The sequence below is a fragment of the Homo sapiens genome, chromosome 20 (assembly GCF_000001405.40).
Source record: "Homo sapiens chromosome 20, GRCh38.p14 Primary Assembly".
Taxonomy (NCBI): domain Eukaryota; kingdom Metazoa; phylum Chordata; class Mammalia; order Primates; family Hominidae; genus Homo; species Homo sapiens.
The window spans coordinates 48,818,513-48,842,089 of record NC_000020.11 but is presented as its reverse complement, the minus strand read 5'-3'; the positions used below and the strand labels follow the sequence as shown (position 1 = coordinate 48,842,089).

Here is a 23,577-nt window from a genome sequence, read left to right as displayed (position 1 = left end):
AGCCCCCTGTCAACAGCACCCAGACCTTGCAGGTCTGCAGGCCAGAGATATACACGCAATGATGCATTAAAAAAAAATTATCCAGGAGCTGTGACTCATACACATTTCTGCTGGGACAAATAAAAATACTGGGAATGAAAGATGGATTAGTCACTGGAACAGTTTGCTGTTAAGAACTGAACCCCCCACAGTTGCCCTTGTTCCTCATTAACTTCTGAAATTCAGAAACTGAGCCCCTAAATGGATGCCTACCAGGGATGTGGGATAAAGCCAGGTAGGGTGGGCGGGGGGTTAGTTGTGAAGAAGGTAGTCTTCATGCAACAGCTGAAGGACAAAGAATGATACTCTGTACTCCGCTGGTTCTGTGGCACAGGTTGTCTACAGCCGGCTGCGGTTCTGATTGGTCTCTGCCTGGGTTGTTCATTGAGACCACCTCTAAATTAAGGCCATTCATTCATTCACTCATTCATTTATTCATCCAGTCTATTTCAGGCAAGGTAATGTGTTAGGCCATGTGTGAGGACCCCTCTGTGTGGATGAGAACAAGCGTTTACCAAGTAGCTAAGACTAAGAAACATGGCATAAATGTCTACATAGAGATTTAGAGAAAGGAGATGTCTCTTTTTTATCTAGCTCAGGGATTAACAAGTTATGTCTTGTGGGCCATTGTTTTTATAAATAAAGTTTTATTGGAACACAGCCACACCCATTCATTATTATTGTCTTTGGCTGCTTTATTGCTACAACAGCAGAATCGAGAAGCTGAGAAGATACTGTATGACTTGCAAAGCCAAAAATACTTACTTTCTGGCTCTCTGCAGAAGAAGTTTGCCTTCCCCTGAATCTAGCATATGAAAAGGGATTTGCAGACCTGGTGAAGTGGCTCCCATCGGTAATCCAAGCCCTTGGGGAGGCTGAGGCGTGGAGGATCCCTTGAGGCCAAGAGTTTGGGACCAGCCTGGGCAACATAGTGAAACCCCGTATCTGCAAAACATGAAATTAGCTGGGCATGGTGGCACGTGCCTGTAGTCCTAGCTACTCAGGAGGCTAAGGCTTGAGCCTAGGAGTTCGAGACCAGTCTGGGCAACATAGTGAGACCCCCATCTGCACATTTTTTTTTTTAATCAGCTACTAGCTACTTGGGAGGCTGAGGTGTGAGGATCATTTGAGCCCAGGAGTTTTGAGGTCTCAGTGAGCCATGATCATGCCACTGCACTCCAGCCTGGGCTACAGTGTAAGACCCTGTCTCTAAATAAATAAATACATAAATAAGGGGATTTGCAATTGTAAGCAACAGAACTCGCTCTAATTTTATTAACAGCTATGGGAGCTCACAGAATCTCAAGGATGCTTAGAAGGCCAGCCTTAAAGGCTGTGCCAAAAACAATGCCCAAAGCACTCTGTGGGGTTGATCTAGCAATGACCCCTTGGTAGCCCCATTGAGCCTGCCCACCCCAAGCAGCCATGCTGACTTTGGCTAGCTGAATATGAACATCTCTGCTGTCACTGCCCCACACACCTGAATGTCTCTGCCATTGCTTTGGTCAGGTAAACAAAATATGTACAAACCCCATGGCGCAGGCATTCCATTTCTGTTAGATAACCTGAAAACGCTTGCTCACAGATGCATATGGAAATGTGTATGAGGAGGTTCATCATGGCATTGCTTCAAGGAGTTTGGAGCAACAGTGTCTAGCACTAGGAAATGGATAAATAGAATATGCTTTTTTTTTTCTTTTTTTTTTTTTTTGGTTAAGGTTAATACTTGCCGTCGTGGTCAGGCACGGTGGCTCACACCTGTAACCCTAGCACTTTGGGAGGCCAAGGCAGGAGGATCACCTGAGCCCAGGAAATTGAGACCAGCATAGGGAACATAGTGAAATCCTGTCCTTACAAAAAATACAAAAATTAGCCTGATGTGGTGGCAAGCGCCTGTAGTCACAGTTACTTGGGAGGCTGAGGTGGGAAGATGGCTTGAGTCCGGGAGGTCAAGGCTGCAGTGAGCCATGATTGTGCCACTGCACTCCAGCCTGGGCAACAGAGCAAGACTCTGTCTCAAACACAAACAAACAAACAAAAATAATTGCAATTGTAATAAACAGGCCTTAAAGCATATAAAGGGTCAAATGTAATGGAAGTTTTATGGCTCATAATAATCCAAGGTGACTGTTAGCGATCAGTAGTCTGGCTCTCCTCCAGGGAGACATTCAGACCCAGACTGAGAGTTACTCTGCCACCTTCAACCGCGGCTTCCAAGGTCACTGTGGGGGACGTCATCCCTATCAGCTATAAGGGAAAGGAGCAAGGAGGAGCATGTGTGGGAGAAATTTCATGGGCCAGCACTAGAGGTGATGATGCACATCTCACCTAACAGCATCCACGAGTTAAAACTCAGTTATGGGGCTCCACCCACCTGCAAGAGGCCTGGGAAATGTAGTCCGCAGCCTCGACCAGGTAGCACAAGCATGGACCAGGTAGCGCAAGCATGCAATGGAACACTGAGCATGGAGTTGTATCTACAAAGAGCAACAAAGCAGGATCTCAGAAACAGGATGTTGAGTGAAAAAGGTAACATAGTATGAAATGCGTAACTCTGTACCATTTACATAAACATTTGAAAACACAGATAAAACACTATGTCTTTATCTCTGTATATATTTTCTACTATGCCTGTTTGAATACCCATAGATCCAAACAAATGTGTGGCAGATGGATCTAAAGAACAAGCTTTAAATATATCCAAGTGGGTGTCTGTGGGGGAGAGGGAAATGGGAGGAGTTGGAGACGGGTGACAGAGGCAAAAATAAGAAGTGAAAATAAAACAAAACCTAGGCCATAGTCTAATGCAGTTGACGGTCAAATGGCCCAAGGAGTGTGACCAACTGATTCTGTGCATCTGGGGTCCAAATCAAAAGAGGAGGAAAAGCAGTGTAGTAAAGAATTAAAGCCATATACATCCATGGCAGAAAATTGGGGAAATGTGAAAAAAGTATAAAGAAAACAAACACCCATAATTATCCCACTCCCCAGATGTAACTACTCTTGTTATTTTAAAATATATTTCCTTGCTTTTTTTTTTTTTTTTTTTTTTTTTTTGAGACAGAGTCACGATCTTGGCTCACTGCAACCTCCACCTCCTGGTTTCAAGCAATTCTCATGCCTCAGCCTCCCAAGTAGCTGGGATTACAGGCGCCTGCCACCACACCCGGCTAATTTTTGTATTTTTAGTAGAGATGGGGTTTTGCCATGTTGGCCAGGATGGTTTCAAACTCGACTTCAAGTGATCCAGCAGCCTCCACCTCCCAAAGTTCTGGGATTACAGGCATGAGGCACTGTGCCTGGCCCCTTGCTGTCATTTTCCTATGAATATGTAATACATGTTGACAATATTGGGATCACAGTCTGCATATCATTTATTTATTGGAGTACATGTTTAATTATCACATAATTTATTTTCTGCTCTTTTCCTCCCCATTCATCTATGTATCATGAGCATTTTTTTCTATTCTATTAAATATTCTTTGACATCAGACTTTTCAATGGCTAAATAATTTTCCAAATTGGGGACATACTATATTTAAGTATTTACTTACTTGTGAGAATTTAGGTTCTTTCAAATATAGGGCTATTATAAATGATGCTGCAATGCACATCTTTGCGCATCGAAGTTTGTCTGAATGTGTGATTCTTTTCTGTAGTTTAGATGAACAGAATGGGAATAACTTGGTTAAAGGCTGTAAATATAGGTGTATATATATTTATTTTTAAGGTTTTTGATGCATCTTTAAATTAGGAAACAGAGAACACATAGGGAAAAGTGCATAAGACATCAATATAAAACCTAACAAATGATTCCAGAGTGAATCCCTGTGAAGTCACCATGTGGGTTAGGAAATAGAACGTTTCCAGCCCCGCTTAAGCCTTTGTGCGGCTCATCTGAATCCCAGACCCCTCCCAACCGGAGAGGAAACCGCTGCCTGGCTTCTTTTCTTTGCAGCTTTGCCATGCAGTGCTATATTCACACTGCATCCTCTGAGCACTGTAGTTCAATACTGCCTGCTTTTGAGCTCTGTATAAATGGAATCATACCTACATCATGTATAATACCTTTTTGTATCTGGCTTCGTTGGCTCAATATCATGTTTCTAAAATTCATTCATGTTATTGCATGGAGTTGTAAGTAGTTCTTTCTCTGCCACCACTCTTTTTTTTTTTCTTTCAATTTTTAAATTTCTTTCTCTCTGTCTCTCTCTCTCTCATTAAACTTTTATTTTAGGTTCAGGGGTACCTGTGCAGGTTTGTTATACAGGTAGACTTGTGTCACAGGGGTGTGTTGTGCAGACAATTTTATCACCCAGATACTAAGCCTAGTACCAAATAGTTATTTTTTCTGCTCCTCTCCCTCCTCCCAATCTTCACCCTCAAGTAGGCCCTAGTGTCTGTTGCTCCCCTCTGCGTCCATGAGTTCTCGTCATTTAGCTCCTGCTTATAAGTGAGAACGTGAGGTATTTGGTTTTCTGTTCCTGCTTTAGATTGCTAAGGATAATGGCCTACAGCTCCGTCCACGTTCCTGCCAAGGACATGATCTTGTTATTTTTTATGGCTTCATGGTATTCATGGCGTAAATGTGCCACATTGTCTTTATCCAGTCTGCCACTGATGGGCATTCAGGTTGATTCCATGTCCTTGCTATTGTGAACAGTGCTGAAATGAACATACGTGTGTATGTGTCTTTATGGTAGAATGATTTATATTCCTTTGGGTAGTACCCAGTAACAGCATTGCTGGGTCTAATGGTAGTTCTGTTTTTAGGTCTTTGAGGAATCGCCACACTGCTTCCCACAGTGGTTAAACTAATTTACACTCCCACCAGCAGTGCATAAGCATTCCCTTTTCTTCGCAACCTCAGGGCATCTGTGATTTTTTTGGCTTTTTAGTAATAGTCATTCTGATTAGTGTGAGATGATATCTCACTGGCCACTACTTCTCTTTGGTTTTCTCTGAATCTATGTAAGTATTTTCCTATGCTTCAGTTTCACATTTCTGAAAGATTAAGGTTAGATGGTGGGGGAAGGAACTCCTTTTCACTTTTTCTAGCAGTTTGGGGTCTGTAAGTTCTTTTTATGTCGCTGTGTCCCTCAGAGAGCTGGCAGAGCGAGGTTCTTTTTTTTTTTTTTTTTTTTTTTTGGAGACAGAGTCTCACTCTGTCGCCCAGGTGGAGTGCAGTGGTGCGATCTCGCTCCACCTCCTGGGTTCAAGCGATTTTCCTGCCTTAGCCTCCAGAGTAGTGGGGATTACAAGTGTGTGCCACCACGACCTACTAATTTTTGTATTTTTAGTAGAGATGGAGTTTTGCCAGGTTGACCAGGTTGGTCTCGAACTCCTGACCTCAAGTGATCTTCCCACCATGGCCTCCCAAAGTGCTAGGATTACAGGCGTGAGCCACCGCACCCAGCCAGAGTGGGGTTCTTAATGTCCTCATTTAACAAAATAAGAAATTGGGGCTCAGGGCTCTGGAGGAGATGACAGAGCCATGGTTGTGCCACTGCACTCCAGACTTTGCCCTCTGTCTATTTCACGAGGGAAAATGAGATCACAGGAGAGTCCATTGCTATGTCTAGTCTTAAAGGAGTCAGGGAACACCTGTGGACAATTGGAACTGTCCCTCACCCCTGTTCCAGCCTCCATTCACTGGCTGCCTCATTCTGAATGCTGGTGTGACCCAGACCTCTGTCCTTGTCCTGGTCTCCATCCACATACCCTCCCTGGGTGATCTCGCCCAGCCCCAAGGCTTTAACTATCACTTATATCCTGACAATGGCTACATTTCTATCTCCAGCCTGACCTCTCCCTGGAACCTCAGGATTGTGGATGTGACTGCCCACTCAACATCTGACTTGGGTATTTAATTTGACATTGAACATGGCCAAAACCAAACGCTCCATCTTCTCCACCAAAGCAGCACCCCACCGACCCCTGCCATCTTTCCCATCGTGGTTAATGCCAACTCCAAAAATCATAGATTATAGGCGTGAGCCACTAATAGAGTCGAGTCGTGTTTAACTCTATTTCACTCTATTTCACCCCTAGATCCTCTGCAAATCCTGCTGGCTCCATCTTTAGAGCATATCCAGAATCAACTGTTTCTCTCCATCTCCTCTGGTATCACCCTGGCCCAAGTCATCAATGTCTCTTGCCTGGACTAGTGCAGTATCCTCCTCATAGGTCTTACTGCTTCTGACCTCACCCTGCTCTTAGTTTACTTCCCATAGAGCTGTCAGAGGGATTCTATTAGAACCTAAGTTAGGTCATAGCTCTCCTCTGTTTAGCTCCCAGTTCATCCAAAGAAAAAGCCAAAGTCCTATGGTCAACTATATGGCTCATACATCTGGTTTTCCTCTCCTTTCTAGATGCATCTCAACTACCCTTCCCCCTTGCTGTTCCTTGAACAAGTGGACACACTCCTACCTCCAAGCCTTTGCACCTGCTGTTCCTGCTGCCCGGAACACAGGTGGGGCCCACTCCCTCACTTCTTTCAGTTCTTTGCTTAAATGTCACCTTCTCAGGGAGGCCTTCTCTCATCCCCTCCAGGCATGTGCTGGCCCCAGTGCTCCCTGTTGTTTAATCCATTTTGTTTTTCTCCGTAACTCTTACCATGATCTGGCTGACTCTGTCAACTTATTGGGGGTCTTTATTTATTGTCTCTTCTGTCCCTAGAACGTAAGCAACAGGAGGACACAGAGTTTTGCTTTATTCACTATTCTAGTCCCAGTACCTAGAACAGTCCCAGGCATTCACGGTGAGGTTTCTCTCAACCTGGAGTCCAAAACATATACTGGAGATATTGATTCATTCAATGATTATTTACACATGCCTGGTGCTGTTTCAGCGCAAGGAAACAAGATTCCCACAGCCCACCTGCAACACCTGGGCAGTGGCTTGGCATGGCTTGGCAAAGAATCACAGAGCCATCTGGGTGGCAAGATCTGGCCAGTAGGGTGGGAGCAGAAGTGATGTATAAAACTTCCAGCTCAGGGCCAGGCACAGTGGCTCACACCTGTAATCCCAGCACTTTGGGAGGCTGAGGCTGGTGTCAGCTGAGGTCAGGAGTTCGAGACCAGCCTGGCCAACATGGTGAAACCCCATCTCTACTAAAAAGACAAAAATTACCTGGGCGTGGTGGCAGGTGCCTGTAATCCAACAGTGCCTTGCACAGAGTGAGCACTCAAAAAATGGGTGTGGTGCCTCACACCTGTAATCCCAGCACTTTGGGAGGCTGAGGTGGGAGGACTGCTTGAGGCCAGGAGTTCAAGACCAGCCTGGGCAACATAGTGGGATCCCCATCTCTACAAAAAAAATAAAATTAGCCAGTTCTGGTGGCATATGCCTGGGGTCCCAGCTACTTAGGAGGTGGAGATGGGAGGAGTGTTTGAGCCTGGAAGGTTGAGGCTGCAGTGAGCTGTGATTGTGCCACTGCACTCTAGCCTGGGTGACAAGAGTGAGACCCTATCTCAAAAAAAAAAGGCTCAGGAATGGAATTTGCCCTGGAAATTTGGAAGGCAGGCTGCGGCTTAAATGGCATTTGGAGAGGGTGTGGCTGTTTGTGTTTCTGCCGGCTACAGAGGAAACCATCAGCTTTCAGTAAAAGTTACCACTGGGGTTGCCAGGTGTCTGGATTTGGACTGGGCAGCTTTATTTTTGAGCTTTCAGTTCTGGGAAAAAAAAAATAACCCAGACATATAAATGTGTGTCCAGTATGTCTGTTGAAACCATCTGGCATTCCTGGCTGCAAAATTTCAAGATATTTCCTCCAGGTCGATCTCTGGCCTTGACGAAATTGCAGAATTTACCTTCTATGTATCAGTCTCTTTCTGAACCCTTTTCTCAACTTTTACTCCCAATCCAGCCTTCACGTTATAAACCTTAGGTCTCTGCTCCATTAGGAAAGCAATAGGGTGAAGACCAGCACCCTTCTGAGGCATTTGCATTTTTTTTTTTTTTGAGACTGAGTCTCGCTCTGTCGCCCAGGCTGGAATGCAGTGGCGCTATCTCGGCTCACTGGCTCACTGCAATCTCCGCCTCCCGGGTTCACGCCATTCTCCGCCTCAGCTTCTGAGTAGCTGGGACTACAGGTGCTCGCCACCAGGACCGGCTAATATTTTGTATTTTTAGTAAAGATGGGGTTTCACCGTGTTAGCCAGGATGGTCTCAATTTCCTCACCTCGCTATCCGCCCGTCTCGGCCTCCCAAAGTGCTGGGATTACAGGTGTGAGCCACCGCGCCCGGCTGGCATTTGCATTTTAAAAGTAGCAAGAAGTCAGGTCAATGCTTATTTGAAAGGATAGGGTCGGCCAGGCGCCGTGCTCATGCCTGTAATCCCAGCATTTTGGGAGGTCGAGGCGGATGGATCACCTGAGATCAGGAGTTTGAGACCAGCCTGGCCAACATGGTGAAATCTTGTCTCTACTAAAAACACAAAAATTAGCTGGGCGTGGTGGCGGGCACCTGTAATCCCAGATACTTGGGAGGCTGAGGCAGGAGAATCACTTGAACCCAGGAGGCTGAGGTTGCAGTGAGCCGAGATCGCGGCATTGCATTCCACTCTGGGCAACAGAATGAGACTCCATCTCAAAAAAAAAAAAAAAAGAAAGAAAAGATAGGGTGACCATAAGGTCCAAAATGGGATGTTATACATTTTATTATCTTTTAATACAAGAAGTCTAGAGGCAGGGTGGTTCCATGGTTGGTTAATTCAGGATCTCAGTGACATCAAAGATCCAGATTCTTTCCATCTGTCATTTTGCACCTTCAGTTAGTTAGAAGTGTCCTATCTCAGGGTCTCAAGATGGCTGTCATAGCTCCAGACATCATGGCTTCATCCACTTACAATAGCAAACACCCATCCAAGGATCGGGCAGCATACTATGCACTTTGGATCTATTAAATATTTTAACCTGCACAACAACGCTGTGAGGTAGAAGCTCTTACTGACCCCATTTTACAGATATGGATATTGAAGCCCAGAGAGGTTAAGTCACTTACACAAAGTGACACAATTAGGAAGCAGTGGGACTGGGATTTGAAGCTGAGAAGCTGGTCTCTGGTGCTACAACAATGTCCAAAGGCTGGAGAAGAAGTCGTGCATGTTGGTGGCAGAGTGGGATTGGAACTGAGGGTCCTAGATGTTTTCCTTTCTGCTTCCTCAAAGCAGTGTCTCCAATGCCTCCTGGCAAAAGTATGATTTGGCAAAGCTGTGGAGCCCTGACTTAATTGGATACCTATTATGCTTAAATCAGACCTTGAACCAGAGCCCCCTGGAGAATGTGCTTCCAACAGCAAGGCTTCCCTTAGAGACGTTTTGACTTGGGCAGCTGGGGGTAGCTCAACTACTAGGAAGACGATTATATTTTGGTGGGAAGAAGTGAACCCTGGGCTGTGTGTCCAGCGTTGATTTGAGTTGTCCAGCTGCTCTAATTCCAAGGGTGGAGAGGCCTCCCTCTTCTTCTCAGACAGCTGCTCTTGGTTCTCAGAATGAGGAACAGCCCTGCTCTGGGCTGCTGGTCTGACTTTTGAGAACTCATTTGCATTTGGGAAATGATGGCACCCTCGGGCAGTGCAGTAACTCACTTCTCAATTGGCTCATTCAACTTGGGATGGGAAAGAAAATCACTTGTTTTTCCTTGCTTTAACTTAATTAGTTTTCCTTTTAAACAGAGCTTGGGAAGGGGGCCTTCAAATCCTCAGCCTGCAGAAGCTGACAGGGGCTTGTCAGGGAATAAGAAACTCTGATGTTTCCAAGCAGCAGAATCTTCTCCCCCTCAACTGTGAAACTTATGTAACAGAAACGAAATGGTATTTCCCACTATTTGCAAAGTACATGGCAACGGAAACTCTAAAATTGTCCCTGCAAAAGAGAATTTCCCTATCATTATCATCACTTTTTTTTTCTTCCCCCTGAACTGCAATTTTTTTTTTTTCTTCTTCCTCCCTGTTCTTTTTGAGAACGTTACCCAGCTGCCGGCTGTTTCAGGCCCTGCCCTGACATACACATGAGACAGATAGGCTCCCCACTAGATATTCCGGACGGGTGATGGGGAAGAAGGGAATAGAGGTCAAAGTTGAAATGGGGATAGGAAGAGATCTACTCCAGCCTGACTGCTTAGTCATGTTTGGTTTAGGGAGTTGCCTATGCCAGGATTAGCTGGGAGGCAGCCAGGTTTTGAAGAGAGGGAGTCCCCACTGATCCCGCCAAGGCTGAGGCCCCTGGCTGAATCCTGATGGCTGAATCATGACACTGGGGTAGTGACCTGAGGCAGAGTCCTGGAGGTGCCACCAACCAATGGTGCTTCCCCAGGCCCATCCCTTGCAGGCCTTAGAGAAGCTGAAAGGACCTTGTTTATTTATTGTCCTTCTCTCCCTGCTCTTGACTGGACACACCAGGAAGCCAGGGACCTTATCTGTTCTGTTCACTGCTGTATCCCTGCCTGGAGCATAGGAGGCCCTCAGTATATAATAGTTGAATGCATGAGAGGAGGAACTTGTCTTCATCCTCACCTATCCCCCTTGCTGGAATAATGCCGGCAGCACAAGGGCCTCAGCTGTTGGGGTGCTCAGTGCTGCAGCCTCAGGACCCCGCCCAATGCCCAGTGTGTAGTAGATGCTTGTGGCCGACACTTATAGATGCCCACCATGCTAGCTCCTCTTCTCTCTTGACAACAGATCTCCAAGTTGTCTGGGCAGCCTTGTGCCAGGGGACTAAGCAGGTCTTTTCTAAGTTGATGGTGGCAATCTATGCCCTCGGTCAGGGACTTTTCAAGGGTGACCATGGCTTCTAGTGCTGACCTGCTGGGAGCTTAAGTTTATTCCCCCAAAGAGAGAAGCACAGAGGAGACAGAGTCTTCTTCGTACTTTTCTTTCCTTCATTGGAGGTGTGTGAGGAGGCAATGTTGCTGTTTCAGCAGCCATTTTGTGCCTCTGAGGCCCTAAAGCTTGGGAGGAAAAGCCACCATGCTGAGGATAGGAGGGTCAAAGGTGCCATGATCCTTGATGACATCATGAAGTCCTACACCAGCCTCAGGAACCAACTGCCTCTGGACCTCTTGCTAAATAATGTCCTTATGCTTTAAGCTATCAATAGCCCAGTTTTCTTCTCCTTGCAGCCAAATGCATCCTATTAGATTCAGCACTCAATCCACGCATTGTAAAAGACTTCACTTATTGAGCACCTACTGTGTGCTCTAAGCACCCTCCATGTATGCACTCAGGAACCTTGCAACGACTTTATGATGTAGGTACTGATATTATTCTTAGTTCACAGATGAGGAAAGCAAGGCACAGAGAGCTTAAGTATGTTACTAAACGCTGTATTATCTTTTAGTGTCATCATTACCACTGGGGATGGGGATGGAAGGGGAAAAAGATCCCAGCAGAATCTGAGGAAGTAACGATGTATAAAACATTGGGGTGGGCCAGAGATGGGACCCATCCACAACGTGGAAATGTTTTTTGGCAGTGTGGGCCAATTCTTGGGTGAAATGTGGGATTTGTGTGTAAACTTGAGGCTAACCTTCCTTGGTCATGGGCTGAGAAGGGAACTAACATTTGTTGAGCACCTACTCTGTGCCAGCTATGTGTGTCAGGTACTTTACATCAGTGGTTCTCAACAGGGGGCAATTCTGTCCCCAGGGATATCTGGCAATGTCTGGAGACACTTTTTCTGTTTATTTTTGAGGCAAGGCTTACTCTGTTGTCCAGGTTGGAGTGCAGTGGTGTGATCACAGCTTACTTGCAGCCCTGACCTCCTGGGCTCAAGCAAGCTCCCCACCTCAGCCCAGCAGCTGGTACTACAGGTGTGTGCCACCATGCCCAGCTAATTTTTAAAATTTTTTTGTAGAGACAGGGTCTTGCTATGTTGCCCAGGCTGGTCTTGAACTTCTGGGATCAAACAATCCTCCCACTTGGACCTCCTAAAATTCTGGGATTAGAGGCCGGAGCCACTGTGCCCAGCCTGGAGACATTTTTGATTCTCAGATTGGGGAGGGAGTGCTACTGGCATCTAGTGGGTAGGGGACGCGGCTAAATGTCCTGAAATGCACAGGACACGCCCCTCCCCCAACAAAGAGTTATGTGACTCCAAATGTCAATAGTCCCAAGGTTGAGAAAGTCTGTATTGCATAGAATTCGCTCTCACAAAGACTCCCCTTTTACAGATTAGACGACTGAGGCCCAGAGAAATAACGTGTCTTGGCCAAGGTTACCCTGCCAGTTGGATTTGGACTGGGATACAAATGCAAGCCCGCTTCATTCCATGGTCCATTATGTTCCAGCCATGTTCTCCCCTCGTGGTAGACAGAATTAATTTAAAGATGAGGAAACGGAGGCTCAGAAAGGTACCGTGAACAGTTTAAAGTCACAAAGCAGAGATACTCCAGAGGCCTTTATTAGGAATAAAAATATAAATAAAAAACCAGCTACCTTTGGACACAATTGACTCCACTACCCAAGCGTGACAGGCTCACCTATCTCATGTCCTTTACTCCCTGCCCAGGGGAACTTCACTCAGCCCAAGGCCCAGATCAAATGCTACCTTGCCCATGATCCCAAAGAAAGAAGTCAGAGAGGGCAGAAGCCACCCCATTCTCTCCCTGTGTCCTTAGGCACTTACAGTATTGAGAGGCCAATGGGAGGAAAATCCTAGGCTTTTGGAACAGGAATAAATAAGCAATGTTTCTGTCCATAAAATGACTACAGTCTAGAGGCGGATACTATGTGGATCACTTTATCCCCTGCAGAGACGATACAATCTCTGGTCCGGAAACACGGGTGATTAGGGATTGTATGGGCCATTTGAGAGTGGGGCCAGGCTTAGAGGGCCGTTCACACATGCAATAATAGTAAGAACAAACATTTACAGAGAACTTTCTAGGTGTTGGGCTTCACACATGCAATAATAGTAAGAACAAACATTTACAGAGAACTTTCTAGGTGCTAAGTACTTCCCATGGAACCCCGGGGAGGACCTTGGAGCTAGGTACCATGATCGTTCCCGTTATACTGATGAAAACACTGAGGATCTTGAAGCAAGGAAACCAGCCCAAGGCCACCCGGCCAGCAAGTGGGGAGCTAGGATTTGAACCTGAGCAGCTGACTCTAGGCCCCAGAACTTCCTCCCCTCTCCATACCTTCCGATAAGGCGGGTGATGATCAACATTGCCCAGAGCAACCTGACAAGAAGCTGGGTTTCCCAAGGCCTTATCCCATGGGGTGGGTGGATGGAAGGGGGAGCAGGCAGGGTACCTGCCACTTGATCAATAACTCAAGAGCAGGTAATAATTTCTTCTGGGAAAGGTGGAAAGGGCAGGGTCAGGGGGCAAAGAAGTTCAGAAAGAAAAGGAAGGAAGGAAAGAGAGAGATGGGAAAGGAAACGGGAAAGAGAAAAGTGAGAGCGAGCGCGCGCCACGCATGTTCCTTCCCAAGGTCGTGGTAGCACCGAGGGCACCGCGAGGGCCCGGCGTTCCCGGGAGGGGCCGTCACTGCCCAGAGAGGGGCCGTCACTGCCCAGGCAGCGGTCGCCCCTGACTTCCCGGGGCCGCGGAGGCGCGCGTGGCGGGGCTGGCTTGCCCCCGAGCGGCTCCGCAGCGAGCTTTCCCAGCCCGGTGTTTACTTGGCCCGAGCAGCGGCCGGACCTGCAAGCAGGAGCCTGCGCGCGGCGGGTGTCGCGTGTGCCGGGTGGGAGTGGCGTAGCCCGCGGTGACTGCGGGTTGGGGGGGCGCCACGCGTCCGGGCGCGGAGTTGGTACGCTCGGTTCGGCGTGCGCGCGGCCTCGGACTCCCGGCTCCGCGGGGCCCTTCCGGAGGCTCCCGCCCGACCCCCGAGCTTCCGACGGAGGCGCCGAGCGCCGCGCCGCGTCCCCAGGGGCCCCGTGCACGCGCAGAGCGCCTCTGCGGCCGAGCGCGGCGTGGCACTTGGCAGACGGTCCCTGGCGCGGGGGCGGGGGGCCAGCCGTCTGGGAGCCCCGAGGGCCGCCCCCTCCCGCCCCTCGCCCGGCCCCCGCGCGCTGCCTCCGCCCCCGGCCCAGCCGCCCGGCCCCCAGTCCCGCCCGCCGCGCCGGGAGCCCGGCCCGCCGCTGAGCCCGGCCCGCCGGCGCGCCCCGTCCGGGATGGGGCGCCTGGACGCCTGAGTTGCCGCTCGGCGCGACGGAAGGAGCCGGCGCCGCGCGGCCGCGCTAGAATGGAGGCGCCCAGCGGCAGCGAGCCCGGCGGCGACGGGGCCGGGGACTGCGCCCACCCGGACCCCCGGGCCCCTGGCGCCGCGGCGCCCAGCTCCGGCCCCGGCCCGTGCGCGGCCGCCCGGGAGTCCGAGCGCCAGCTGCGCCTCCGCCTCTGCGTCCTCAACGAGATCTTGGGCACCGAGAGGGACTACGTGGGCACCTTGCGCTTCTTGCAGTCGGTGAGTGTCGCTCGGGAGCTTGGGGACAGCTTTCCCTCCAGCCGCTCGCCCCGCTGCGGTCCCCACAACCTGTGGCCGTGGTCCCCGTGGGTGGAGAATTGCCTCGGGGGCGCCCCGCAGGGCGCGCGGAAAGCGGGGGGGATCCGAGCTCCTCCAGAGCTGTCGCGTCGCCTCCCTCCCTGGCCGGCGCACGGTCCTGCTCCGACCGGGGCTCTCCCGCACTCCACTTCCCCGCGGCGCGCGCTGCCCTTTTGTCTTTTCTTCCCCGTCCCCGCCTTTCAAATAGTTTTAAAATTAGTTACATCCGCGATGCAGGGGCTTGGGGACCCCGGCGGCGCCGGGAGCTGGCGCTCCTGCGTCTTTTTCCCAGGAATAACTACGCGCCCGGTGCACCACTCATCTAGGACATACCGTAGGAGCCCCAGAGCCCAACGTCCCTGCGCGTTGATGGAGTAGGATAAAACCTGAAGCTCAGAGGAGGGGCGGGGATTGACAGAACCCCAGGGTAGAATCCCCCATGCACAGGTTTTTGCTGGAGTTCGGGGAGAGTGGGTTTCGAACTCAAAACTCGGCAGTCCAGGCTCCCTAACTGCATCCACCCCCACCAACTCCCCATCTCCAAGTGCAAAACCACGGCCTCAGACTTTGTAAAATAACAACCGACCACTTACTATGTGCCAGACACCTTACATGTGTCATTAATTAGCAGGTTTAACCTTCACAGGCGGTCTATGAAGTAGGGACGAGTATTTCCCCCATTTTTAATTAAAAAAATTTTTTTTTGAGACGGAGTCTCCCTCAGTCACCCAGGCTGGAGTACAGTGGCGCAATCTCGGTTCACTGCAACCTCCGCCTCCCGGGTTCAAGCAATTCTCTTGCCTCAGCCTCCCGAGTAGCTGGGATTACAGGCACGCGCCAGCCACCACGGCCGACTAATTTTTGTATTTTTATCAGAGAGGGGATTTCACCATGTTGGCCATGCTGGTCTTGGACTCCTGGCCTCAAGTGATCCGCCGACCTCGGCCTCCAAAGTGCAGGGATTACAGGCGTGAGCTACTGGGTCCTGCCTCCTCCGTTTTTAAGATTGGGAAAGTTTAGCTCCAGAGGGGCCGGGTAGCTTGTCTGGGATCGCACAGCTGATTAAGTGGGGGTACTGGGCTTTGAACCGGGACTATCCCAGCTGGTGTTCTAAACCCCTATTCTATGCTGCATTTTTCTTTTGCTTTTTTTCTGTGAGAGGGAGGAAGGGGCCACTTCCCTACTCTCCTAGGAAGTGAGAAAAGTGGCCAGCGGGTGGAGGGGGTGGGACGGGGCAGAGCCTTGGATGGAAGTTAGGAGACTCTAAAGTCTTTAATCTCCATGCCTCCTGCTGGGGCCTCATTTACTCCCCTTCTCTGCTCTAGGAAGTCTTTTAATCCTGGTTCAGGAAGGGCTGGTGTGGGGGTGGCTCTTTCAAAGACCCTAGAGCCAGGCTTTGTAGCTCCTAGTCTTTGGGAGAAAGAGGGAGACTCTGGGGTCCTCTGGGGCTCCTCATGGCTTAGGGGTGCAGCTGAGGCTGTGTGAGATCAGAGTTCCAGCTCAGGGAGGAGACAGCCTTAGACTAGAGCCCTTCTGCCTGTGAAAGGAGATGTACTGGGGGCAGGGGGATGTGGGAGAGGGGGTTGTGCAGAAGCATTGAAAACCATTTGGCTAAAGGACCCTTCTAGGAAGGCCTGTAAGAATAAGGCAGGATTGGCTTTCTTTCCCATCCCTTCTTCTCTCACAGTTTCGGGGGTGGGGGGTGGGGGAAGAATTTGTTCTGTTAGAAGCTGGCAGTTTTTGAATTAAACATGTAGACAACCCTGGTGTCTCTGAGCAATGTCAAATTCTAGGGAACTCCTGACTTCTCCTTCTGAGCCACTCCATGCTCCTCTGCTTGGAAGAGAAACAGGAAATACAAACCAATTTTGATATTAATGGGAAAGAAAATATACCTCTCCCTCCCACGCCCCTGCCCTAGATGGTGTGTTTCATTTTAGAACAGATCTAGATTGTGTTTGAGTTAACTGTGGTTTTAAATCGTCCACGTGTAGAGTAGGAGGAAGCTGGAATAATGGAAATTGATTGGAGCCAACCATTCTTATTATTCAAGAAACAGGAAAAAAAAAGATTTCTCTACTTTCACATTATCTCCTTAACACTTTACATTTGCTGACTTCATCACATTTTTCTTTTTGTATCTGATGTGTCAGTTCTGAGATGAATTGGTTCTGACTTGGACATGTGTCTTGGACCAATCATGCTACGTGTCCTGACCTCAGTTTCCCCACCTGTGAAACAAGGAGCGGGGAATCCGGGCTTCCTTTCTGCCTGGGCCTTTTGTGTGTCCCCAAGCTGGTGCCAGAAACAGACGGATTGTGTAACCTGACCAGCCATACGTTGTTTGTGAGCCACAGGAGTCCTCTCTCATCTTGGCCCGTCAGGAATGGCCCCTAAACATCCCAAGGCATTTTCGTTTTCAAAACTAACCTGGGGCTTAGAGCTTCAGGAACTGCTAATTACCAAGGCTTTCCATGGTTGCAAGGCTGGCAGCCTCAGGTTGTGATTCTCTTCTGTCTTCCCACTCTCTCTTCTCAGCCTTTATATTTGCTAAGGGATTTTCCCTGCTGTCTCCTGGCTTGGAAGAATGCACGGTAATCCCTCCCTGCTTTTATTTCCATGTGGTTAGAGGCAGGCCTTAAAGGACCACCCTGGTCTCCGTGTGTCCTTGGTGTGAAGGTCCCATCGGCCCATGGAAACCGTGGAAAGTAACCCCCGTGATAGGGGCCATGTGTGGCTTCTGTCCTCAAGGAGAGGACGGTGTAGTGGAGGATGGCCAAATGGGTGTTTAAAAAAAACAATCCAAGTGCAAGGCTCTGGAGCCAGACTGCTTGAGGTTAAATCCTTGGACTTGTGACCTTGGGCAAACACCTTAACCTGTTTGAGCCTTATTTGTAAAAAGAGGGATGTTAATAGGTCCTATTTTATAGGTTTTTAAAGAAGATAAGTGAGTTATAGAAATTGATGTAAAGCACTTAGAACAGTGTCTGGCAGTAAGGTATATAAATATTGGTTATTATTGTTGTTGTAGGAAAATTAAATAATACAGATAATTAGGGTTGTGGGACTTCAGCATCCAGAGAGCAGGGGTGATCAGAGAGGGCTTCCTGGAGGAAGTGAGGTCTGAGTTAAGTCAGCACTGAGAGGAGGATGGGGGCTCTGAGTGAGTTTCCTTTTGACACCCTAAACTCCGGCCACAGGAACCAGTGGTTTTGTTTGGTTCCAGGCCGAGGGCTTTGTGGTTCCTTGAGAATCTTCCCATCTTTCCCCATCTCCTTCAGGAACTGGGTTGCACTCCCTCCCTCATCTCCAGGGAGTCCTCTGAGTTTGGTGTTTTGCGTGTGTTTATTAAATAATCATGAAAAGGCAAGGACAGCCCTTTCACAGAGATGCTGGATCGGTCTTGGGGGAAACAGTGCCTGGGGTTTTGACTCAGAACCTTGGCTCGAATCATTTCGAGGCCCTGGCTATGTGGGGTACTCCCCGTGTGCTCTGGGCAGCGTTAGTCATGATGAAAACAATGACAGTCATTGCTGTGCAGGAACTGACTTTGATTCATCACTTGCCATTCTAAGCACTTTGCATGTGTCAACTCATTTAATTTTCTTTATGAAGGGGATGCTGTTTTTATCCCCATTGAGAGGTGAGGAAACTGAGGCAAAGTGAATCTAAGTGAGCTGCTCTGGGTCAGGTGGACAGCATTGCCAGGATTTGATCCTAGGCTGCCTGACCCCACAACTCATGTCCCCAGCCACTTGATAGACCGCCTTTGGCTGATCCAAGAAGGGCTTGGCACATGATTTATTAAGGTGGCAGAACTGGGATTTGAACCCAGGTCTGTGTGATGTTTCACCTCCGCCTGCGCTTCCTCCTGTTACTTGCCCTCTGTGACTCCCATTCTTTTCTCCACAGAATGGGAAGAACTGTGGACGGATAGAAATGGCAGGCTGCCGAGTTCTTGCTCTGGGCTCCGGGTCTGTTCATGGCACGAGGGTTGAGTGAGGCTCTGGAGTCATGCTGCTGGTGTTCAAATCCAGGCTTCTTCCACTTGGACTGTAGGTGACCTTGGGCTGATCACTGACTTGCTCTGTGCCTCAGTTTCCACATCTGTCCAACGGGCACAGTGTAGCACCTGCGTCACAGGGATGTGGTGAAGCTTGCCCCCCACTCCCCTAGAGGAGGCTGAGTAGACCTTGGGCCCACCTGCCAAGGGGAGGCACCTCAGGGGCAGGTGCCAGTAACTCCCATGATGGGGTGTGTCAGCTGGGCAGTGGTCGAAAGAGAAGAGAGGGCCTGGGTGGGTGGGCAGAGAGGCCGGTGGGTGGGAGTTGGTCAGCAGCTCCTCGAAGGTCTCCCCGTGGCTGAGGACAGAGAGCTATAGAGACACAGAGGGTCTGCCCGGAACCGACCAGGATGGGAGTCTCTGAGGAACAGGGATTGTGGGCAGAAAGCTCCCAGAATGCTTTCTGTGGTTCTGCTTTTTGGAGGGAGGAGACAAAAGTTTTTCTTCTCATTGGAGCTCCGCTTGCCAAACAAGAAACTGTGGTTTTTTGTTGTCACTATTTTTTTTTCTGTTTTAAAAGATTCTGTACTCCTAGTCTCACACTAGGGAGAAATGCCACGGGTGGTTGGGGTGGGGGCAGGTCTTTGATTTCACAGTCATTGAGGCAGAGGGACCTCCCCAGTAACTTGGGGGGATTTTCACGTGGTCCTCATATGAAAAGTAGGATGCTGAGAGGTATATGTAACACAGTTCTTTTGGAAAATAAACAATAACCATAATATACACGTGTGTTATATGTATAAGGTGACATTAGGTTGGAGAAAAGGATGGAAGGATGTGTATCTTTTACAGAAAGGCAACCAGGAAGATAAGGAAGTAAAATCCTGTTTATAATACCCTTTTCATATAAAATTATGCATATGTATGCGAATATATTTTTTAAGAAGCCGACAGGAAGAATTGTATTTTCAACATGGTTATTAGATTAATGCAACAGTAATAATGGTAACAATTTGCTAATATTTATATACTTGCAAGCCCTGTTTATAAGTTCCTTAAGCATTAACTCAAAAGTTGCAGGTATTCTTATGCTTCCTGTTTTACAAATGAAACAAAGACACAGAGAGGCCAAGTCAGTTTCCCAAGGTCACACAGCCTGACAGAACTGGCACTTGGACCCAGGTAATGCGGCTGCATGGCCCACATTCTTCACCACTATCCTGAATTGCACCAAAATGAGGCTGTGTTCATGAGCAAAATTACTGCCCCTGTGAGACCTCTGGGCTGCCCAGGTGGGCAAGAATTAAGTCAAAAAGTCCACCTTATTTCAGTTTTCAGATGCCGGAGAGCCTGGAACAGGCCACCTTGTGTTGGGCTCATCATCATCAGGAAGTCAGTGAAAATCTTTTGATGGTAAAAACTGAGTGTCAGCAGGATTTAGATGGGTTACATTTTTTTTAATGTATGGCAGACAGAGAGCTCTGTACAGATAAAACCATGAAGATATGAGACTGCTTTTCTCTGTGTGCAGGTATTTATGGAGCATCTGCTGTATATCCTGGGCAGTGTTCTGGGCCACGAGAATGAAGTCATCAACAGGTCGTTGTCCTTATAAGAAGGACAACCCTGTGGGGATTCTACAACTCATTCTTCAGACAAACCTTCTGGAAGCCTACCTACTTTTATTCTGGTGTTTGCCCTGGTAGCAATTTAACTGTCACTTTAAGAAGACGCGAATGGGGTTGGTGTCTCTGGCTTTTGAGACTTCAGGGCACCCCTTTCTTGGAGAGAAAGATACTCCTTTATCAGGCCAGAGAGCTGAAGACCTGTTGGGCTTGGGGCCACTCCCTTTAATAAAGAAACCCACATCCTATTTGCTTCACAGCCGCTCTCCCTTAAAGGTTTTGCAAGAGTTTAAGTGTTTGAAGCAGGTCATGCCTGGCTGCAGGAGAACCTGACCTCTCCAGATTTTTGGGGCTTTTCTTTTTTTCCAACAGACACAGGCATGCTGGCTAGAATACTGGAGGGAGGTGGGTGATAGGGTGGGCTGCCCCTCAAACCTGTGTGCTGTGTCCCACAGCATCATTCCCCAGACATGGGGCCAGGTCGGAGCTGATTCCTGCCCTGCGTTTCGGAGATCTTGAACAGAAGCCAGGTGGGTCATTCGGTCTGAATCTCCTTGTTTTGCAGGTGACATAAATTGCGTCCCCAGAGGGGAGGTGAGCACCAGTTAAGGGCAGTAGCCACTCAGTTTGTTAGAGTTCCATCCCCAGATACCTGGGAAGAGAGCTTGGTGGCCCACATCCTTTTCTGGGGATCTGTGTTTTAGCCAGGATCAAAAATCCCCCCGTTTTTTTTTAAGATGGAGTCTTGTACTGTCGCCCAGTCTGGAGTGCAGTGGCGTGATCTTGGCTCACTTCAACCTCTGCCTCCCGGGTTCAAGCGATTCTCTTGCCTCATCCTCCCGAATAGCTGGGACTACAGGCACGTGCCACCATGCCCGGCTACTTTTTGTATTTTTTTAGTAGAGACAGGGTTTCACCATGTTGACCAGGCTGGTATTGAACTCCTGACCTCAAGTGTTCTGCCCGCCTTGGCCTCCCACAGTGCTGGGATTATAGGCGTGAGCCACCATGCCCGGCCAAAAGTCCCTCTTGAAGAGGTTTCACGGGGTCATTTCTGGCCCTAGCGTTGGTCTGGAGCAAATCCCACTAGTCTCTCAGCCTTCAGCACTGTCGACATACGGGGCTGGACCATTCTTTGCTGTGGGGGTGCTGTCCTGTGCATTGTAAGATGTTTAGCAGCATCGCTGGCCTCTACCTACCAGATGCCAGTAGGACCCCTCTTCCCCAGTTGTGACAACCACAGATGTCTCCAGATATTCCAGGTATCCACTAGAGGTGGTTGGGTGTGAAAAATAGCCCCCAGTTGAGAACCACTGGGCTAAAAGCTCCTTTGACTACCACCTGTGCTCTCAGATCGTGTGGGGGCATTAGCATGCCTGTGTGGAAATACGTGAGATTGATGTGTTTATGTAAGTAGCATAATACGGTTTGCCCTTTTCACCCAGCAGAGTGTCTGGGAGGCTCCCTCTCTTGCGGTTCATGGTTTAGAGCACAGACTCTCGAGCCACCTTGCCTGGGTTCAGATCCCAGCTCTTCCCCTGTGTGACCTTGGGGATGTTGCTTTGCCTCTCTGAGTCCTGGTTTCCCCATCTGCAAAATGGGGATGACCCCAGCACTCCTAGGGTTACTCTGGGGAGTACAGTGACTGTGTGCGGGCTCACCCCTCCTCCCGGAGGAAGTCCCAAGGAAGAAGCAGAGCCCTCCAGCCTTCCAGCCCTGTGTAGATTTTTGAGCTTATTTTTATTTTCTTGGCTCCTTGAGGACCAGAAGGGAATCTGTCTGCTCTTCTTTTGTCTTGTGGTCAGACACTCAATCTGTGTTTACCCGCCTGATTCCTTCCCCAGGATGGAACTGACAGACGATCCCTTGATTCTGGGCCAGGGGAGGCGAGACTATTTCAGGCTGGCGGGACTGGGGCCACTGAAAGCTGGTGCAGGCAGGTGGCCATTGGCCGTCAGGACCCAGGGTCTTGTGCTTCCCCCCTTGCTGGGAGGGTGGGTGGCTTCTGTGCATCTCTCAGGAGGAGCGAGGCCGGGGTCAGGGTGTGGGCAGTTGATGCTTTCATCCACTAATCGACTTATTCATTCAATAAATGGCCATTCAGCACCCACTGTGTGCCAGGCACTGTGCTAGGTGCTGGCATGTGGCTGGAACAAGACAGACAAGGTCTCTGCCCTCAGGGAATCTTCAGACACCGCAAAAAGAAATCCCTTGAGAAAAGGACCAGAGTTGTCATAATAAGGACACCCACTGAGGCCTTGCTCTGTTCCAGGTACTGTGCCACATGCTTCTTGAGCCCTTGCAGCAACTCCCTGAGGTCAATATCATCATTATACCTATTTTGCAGATGGGGAAACTAAAGCCGGGAGAGGCTGAGTAACTTGCTGAAGTCCACACAGCTGGGGAGTGGATTCAGACAGAAGGAAATAAAATGAGGTGATGTTTGTGACAGGGATGGTCGCATCTACTTTAGATGGGATGGGCAAGGAAGGCTTTTCTAGGGAGATGACATTTGACCAAGTCCTGAAGGAGGAGAAGGAGCCCTGGTGGAAAGAGTGGAGAAAAGTGTGTTCCAGGCAGTGGGAGCAGCAGATGCAAAGGCCCTGAGGCAGGACTGTGCCAGGCTTGTTTGAGGAACAGTAAGAGGCCAGGGTGGCTGGAGGGGAGAGTAAGGGAGATGAGATTGGCATGTTGGTGGGGTCCAGGTCGCATGGGCCTCAGATGCATGGTGAGCAGTTTGGGTTTTATTTCTGGTGGTGTGAGGAGCCACCAGAGTGCTTTCAGTTGGATATGGCATGGGTCAGTTGGTGACGTGGAAACCAAGACTGTGCAATGGTCTTACTAAGGTCTCAGAGAGGAATGGGTGTACCGTCCCCTCCCACAGCAGATCCCCTGCCTGCTCCCAGGCTGCTCTGTGACCTACGGCTGGTTCTGTCCTCTCTTTGGGTTTCAGCTTTCCTGTGGGTACTGGGTTACCAAGTAACCAGGGCAGGCTTCCTGGAGGAGGCCAGTGGACCCAACCACACCCAAAGAGGAGTTTGGGCCCCCATCTGTGGCCAGAATGTGGATGAGCTGTGAAGGCAGCTGCCTCTGGGCTGGGAGGGCTGTTGATGCGAGATGAACCTCTGCTTCCTGAGACAAAGGAAGGTGCCCCTTGTTTTCTGTTCAGGAAACTCATTTGCATAATTAAAAACTGTTTGGCGGGATCGGTACTCCACCCTCCATGCATAGGCATCATAACAGCACTTTACTGTCTATTAGCTCTCACCTCTGCCCTGTGGGGGATGGATTTTTCAGGCCCACTTCCTGCATGAGGAAAATAGCTGCAGAGAGGGGAAGTGGCGTACCTGAGGACGCGCAGCCGGGAATGGCCAGGGCCGTTGCAGTTGACTCTTTTGATCTCGCCCTGGCCTCCCGCATTCT

At 49.3% G+C, this 23,577-nt stretch overlaps 1 protein-coding gene across 4 annotated transcripts in view, besides 7 other annotated features; it reads left to right on the top strand.

Annotated features, from left to right (window-relative positions):
* The window catches only part of PREX1 (phosphatidylinositol-3,4,5-trisphosphate dependent Rac exchange factor 1), a 263,934-nt gene that overhangs the window by 46,096 nt on the left and 194,261 nt on the right, over positions 1–23,577 (top strand). The window contains exons 1-2 of one of the 4 annotated variants that reach the window (XM_047440331.1): positions 20,446–20,684; positions 22,335–22,590. The exons of 1 other annotated variant lie outside the window; for it this stretch is intronic. Coding sequence is in view for 1 of the 3 variants with exons in the window: in NM_020820.4 (NP_065871.3) it covers positions 14,230–14,448 (219 nt within the window). In the remaining 2 variants the exon portion in view is untranslated. Of the gene's footprint in view, positions 1–14,090; positions 14,449–20,445; positions 20,685–22,334; positions 22,591–23,577 lie in introns of those variants that run through there. 2 more of the 4 variants (NM_020820.4, XM_047440332.1) reach the window with 2 other exon arrangements.
* Positions 2,272–2,331: an enhancer, noted in NCBI's record as "active region_18049". NCBI's record gives its function as "activates an Ori minimal core promoter by ATAC-STARR-seq in GM12878 lymphoblastoid cells {active_cell/tissue: GM12878}" and the evidence as "EXISTENCE:reporter gene assay evidence [ECO:0000049][PMID:35858748]".
* Positions 2,712–2,821: an enhancer, noted in NCBI's record as "active region_18048". NCBI's record gives its function as "activates an Ori minimal core promoter by ATAC-STARR-seq in GM12878 lymphoblastoid cells {active_cell/tissue: GM12878}" and the evidence as "EXISTENCE:reporter gene assay evidence [ECO:0000049][PMID:35858748]".
* Positions 13,438–14,117: a silencer, noted in NCBI's record as "silent region_12989". NCBI's record gives its function as "represses an Ori minimal core promoter by ATAC-STARR-seq in GM12878 lymphoblastoid cells {active_cell/tissue: GM12878}" and the evidence as "EXISTENCE:reporter gene assay evidence [ECO:0000049][PMID:35858748]".
* Positions 14,528–14,597: a silencer, noted in NCBI's record as "silent region_12988". NCBI's record gives its function as "represses an Ori minimal core promoter by ATAC-STARR-seq in GM12878 lymphoblastoid cells {active_cell/tissue: GM12878}" and the evidence as "EXISTENCE:reporter gene assay evidence [ECO:0000049][PMID:35858748]".
* Positions 17,844–17,933: an enhancer, noted in NCBI's record as "active region_18047". NCBI's record gives its function as "activates an Ori minimal core promoter by ATAC-STARR-seq in GM12878 lymphoblastoid cells {active_cell/tissue: GM12878}" and the evidence as "EXISTENCE:reporter gene assay evidence [ECO:0000049][PMID:35858748]".
* Positions 18,224–18,273: an enhancer, noted in NCBI's record as "active region_18046". NCBI's record gives its function as "activates an Ori minimal core promoter by ATAC-STARR-seq in GM12878 lymphoblastoid cells {active_cell/tissue: GM12878}" and the evidence as "EXISTENCE:reporter gene assay evidence [ECO:0000049][PMID:35858748]".
* Positions 21,633–22,630: an enhancer, noted in NCBI's record as "H3K4me1 hESC enhancer chr20:47435997-47436994 (GRCh37/hg19 assembly coordinates)". NCBI's record gives its function as "activates a minimal SCP1, AML or CMV promoter by ChIP-STARR-seq in primed H9 embryonic stem cells {active_cell/tissue: H9 hESC(primed)}" and the evidence as "EXISTENCE:reporter gene assay evidence [ECO:0000049][PMID:30033119]".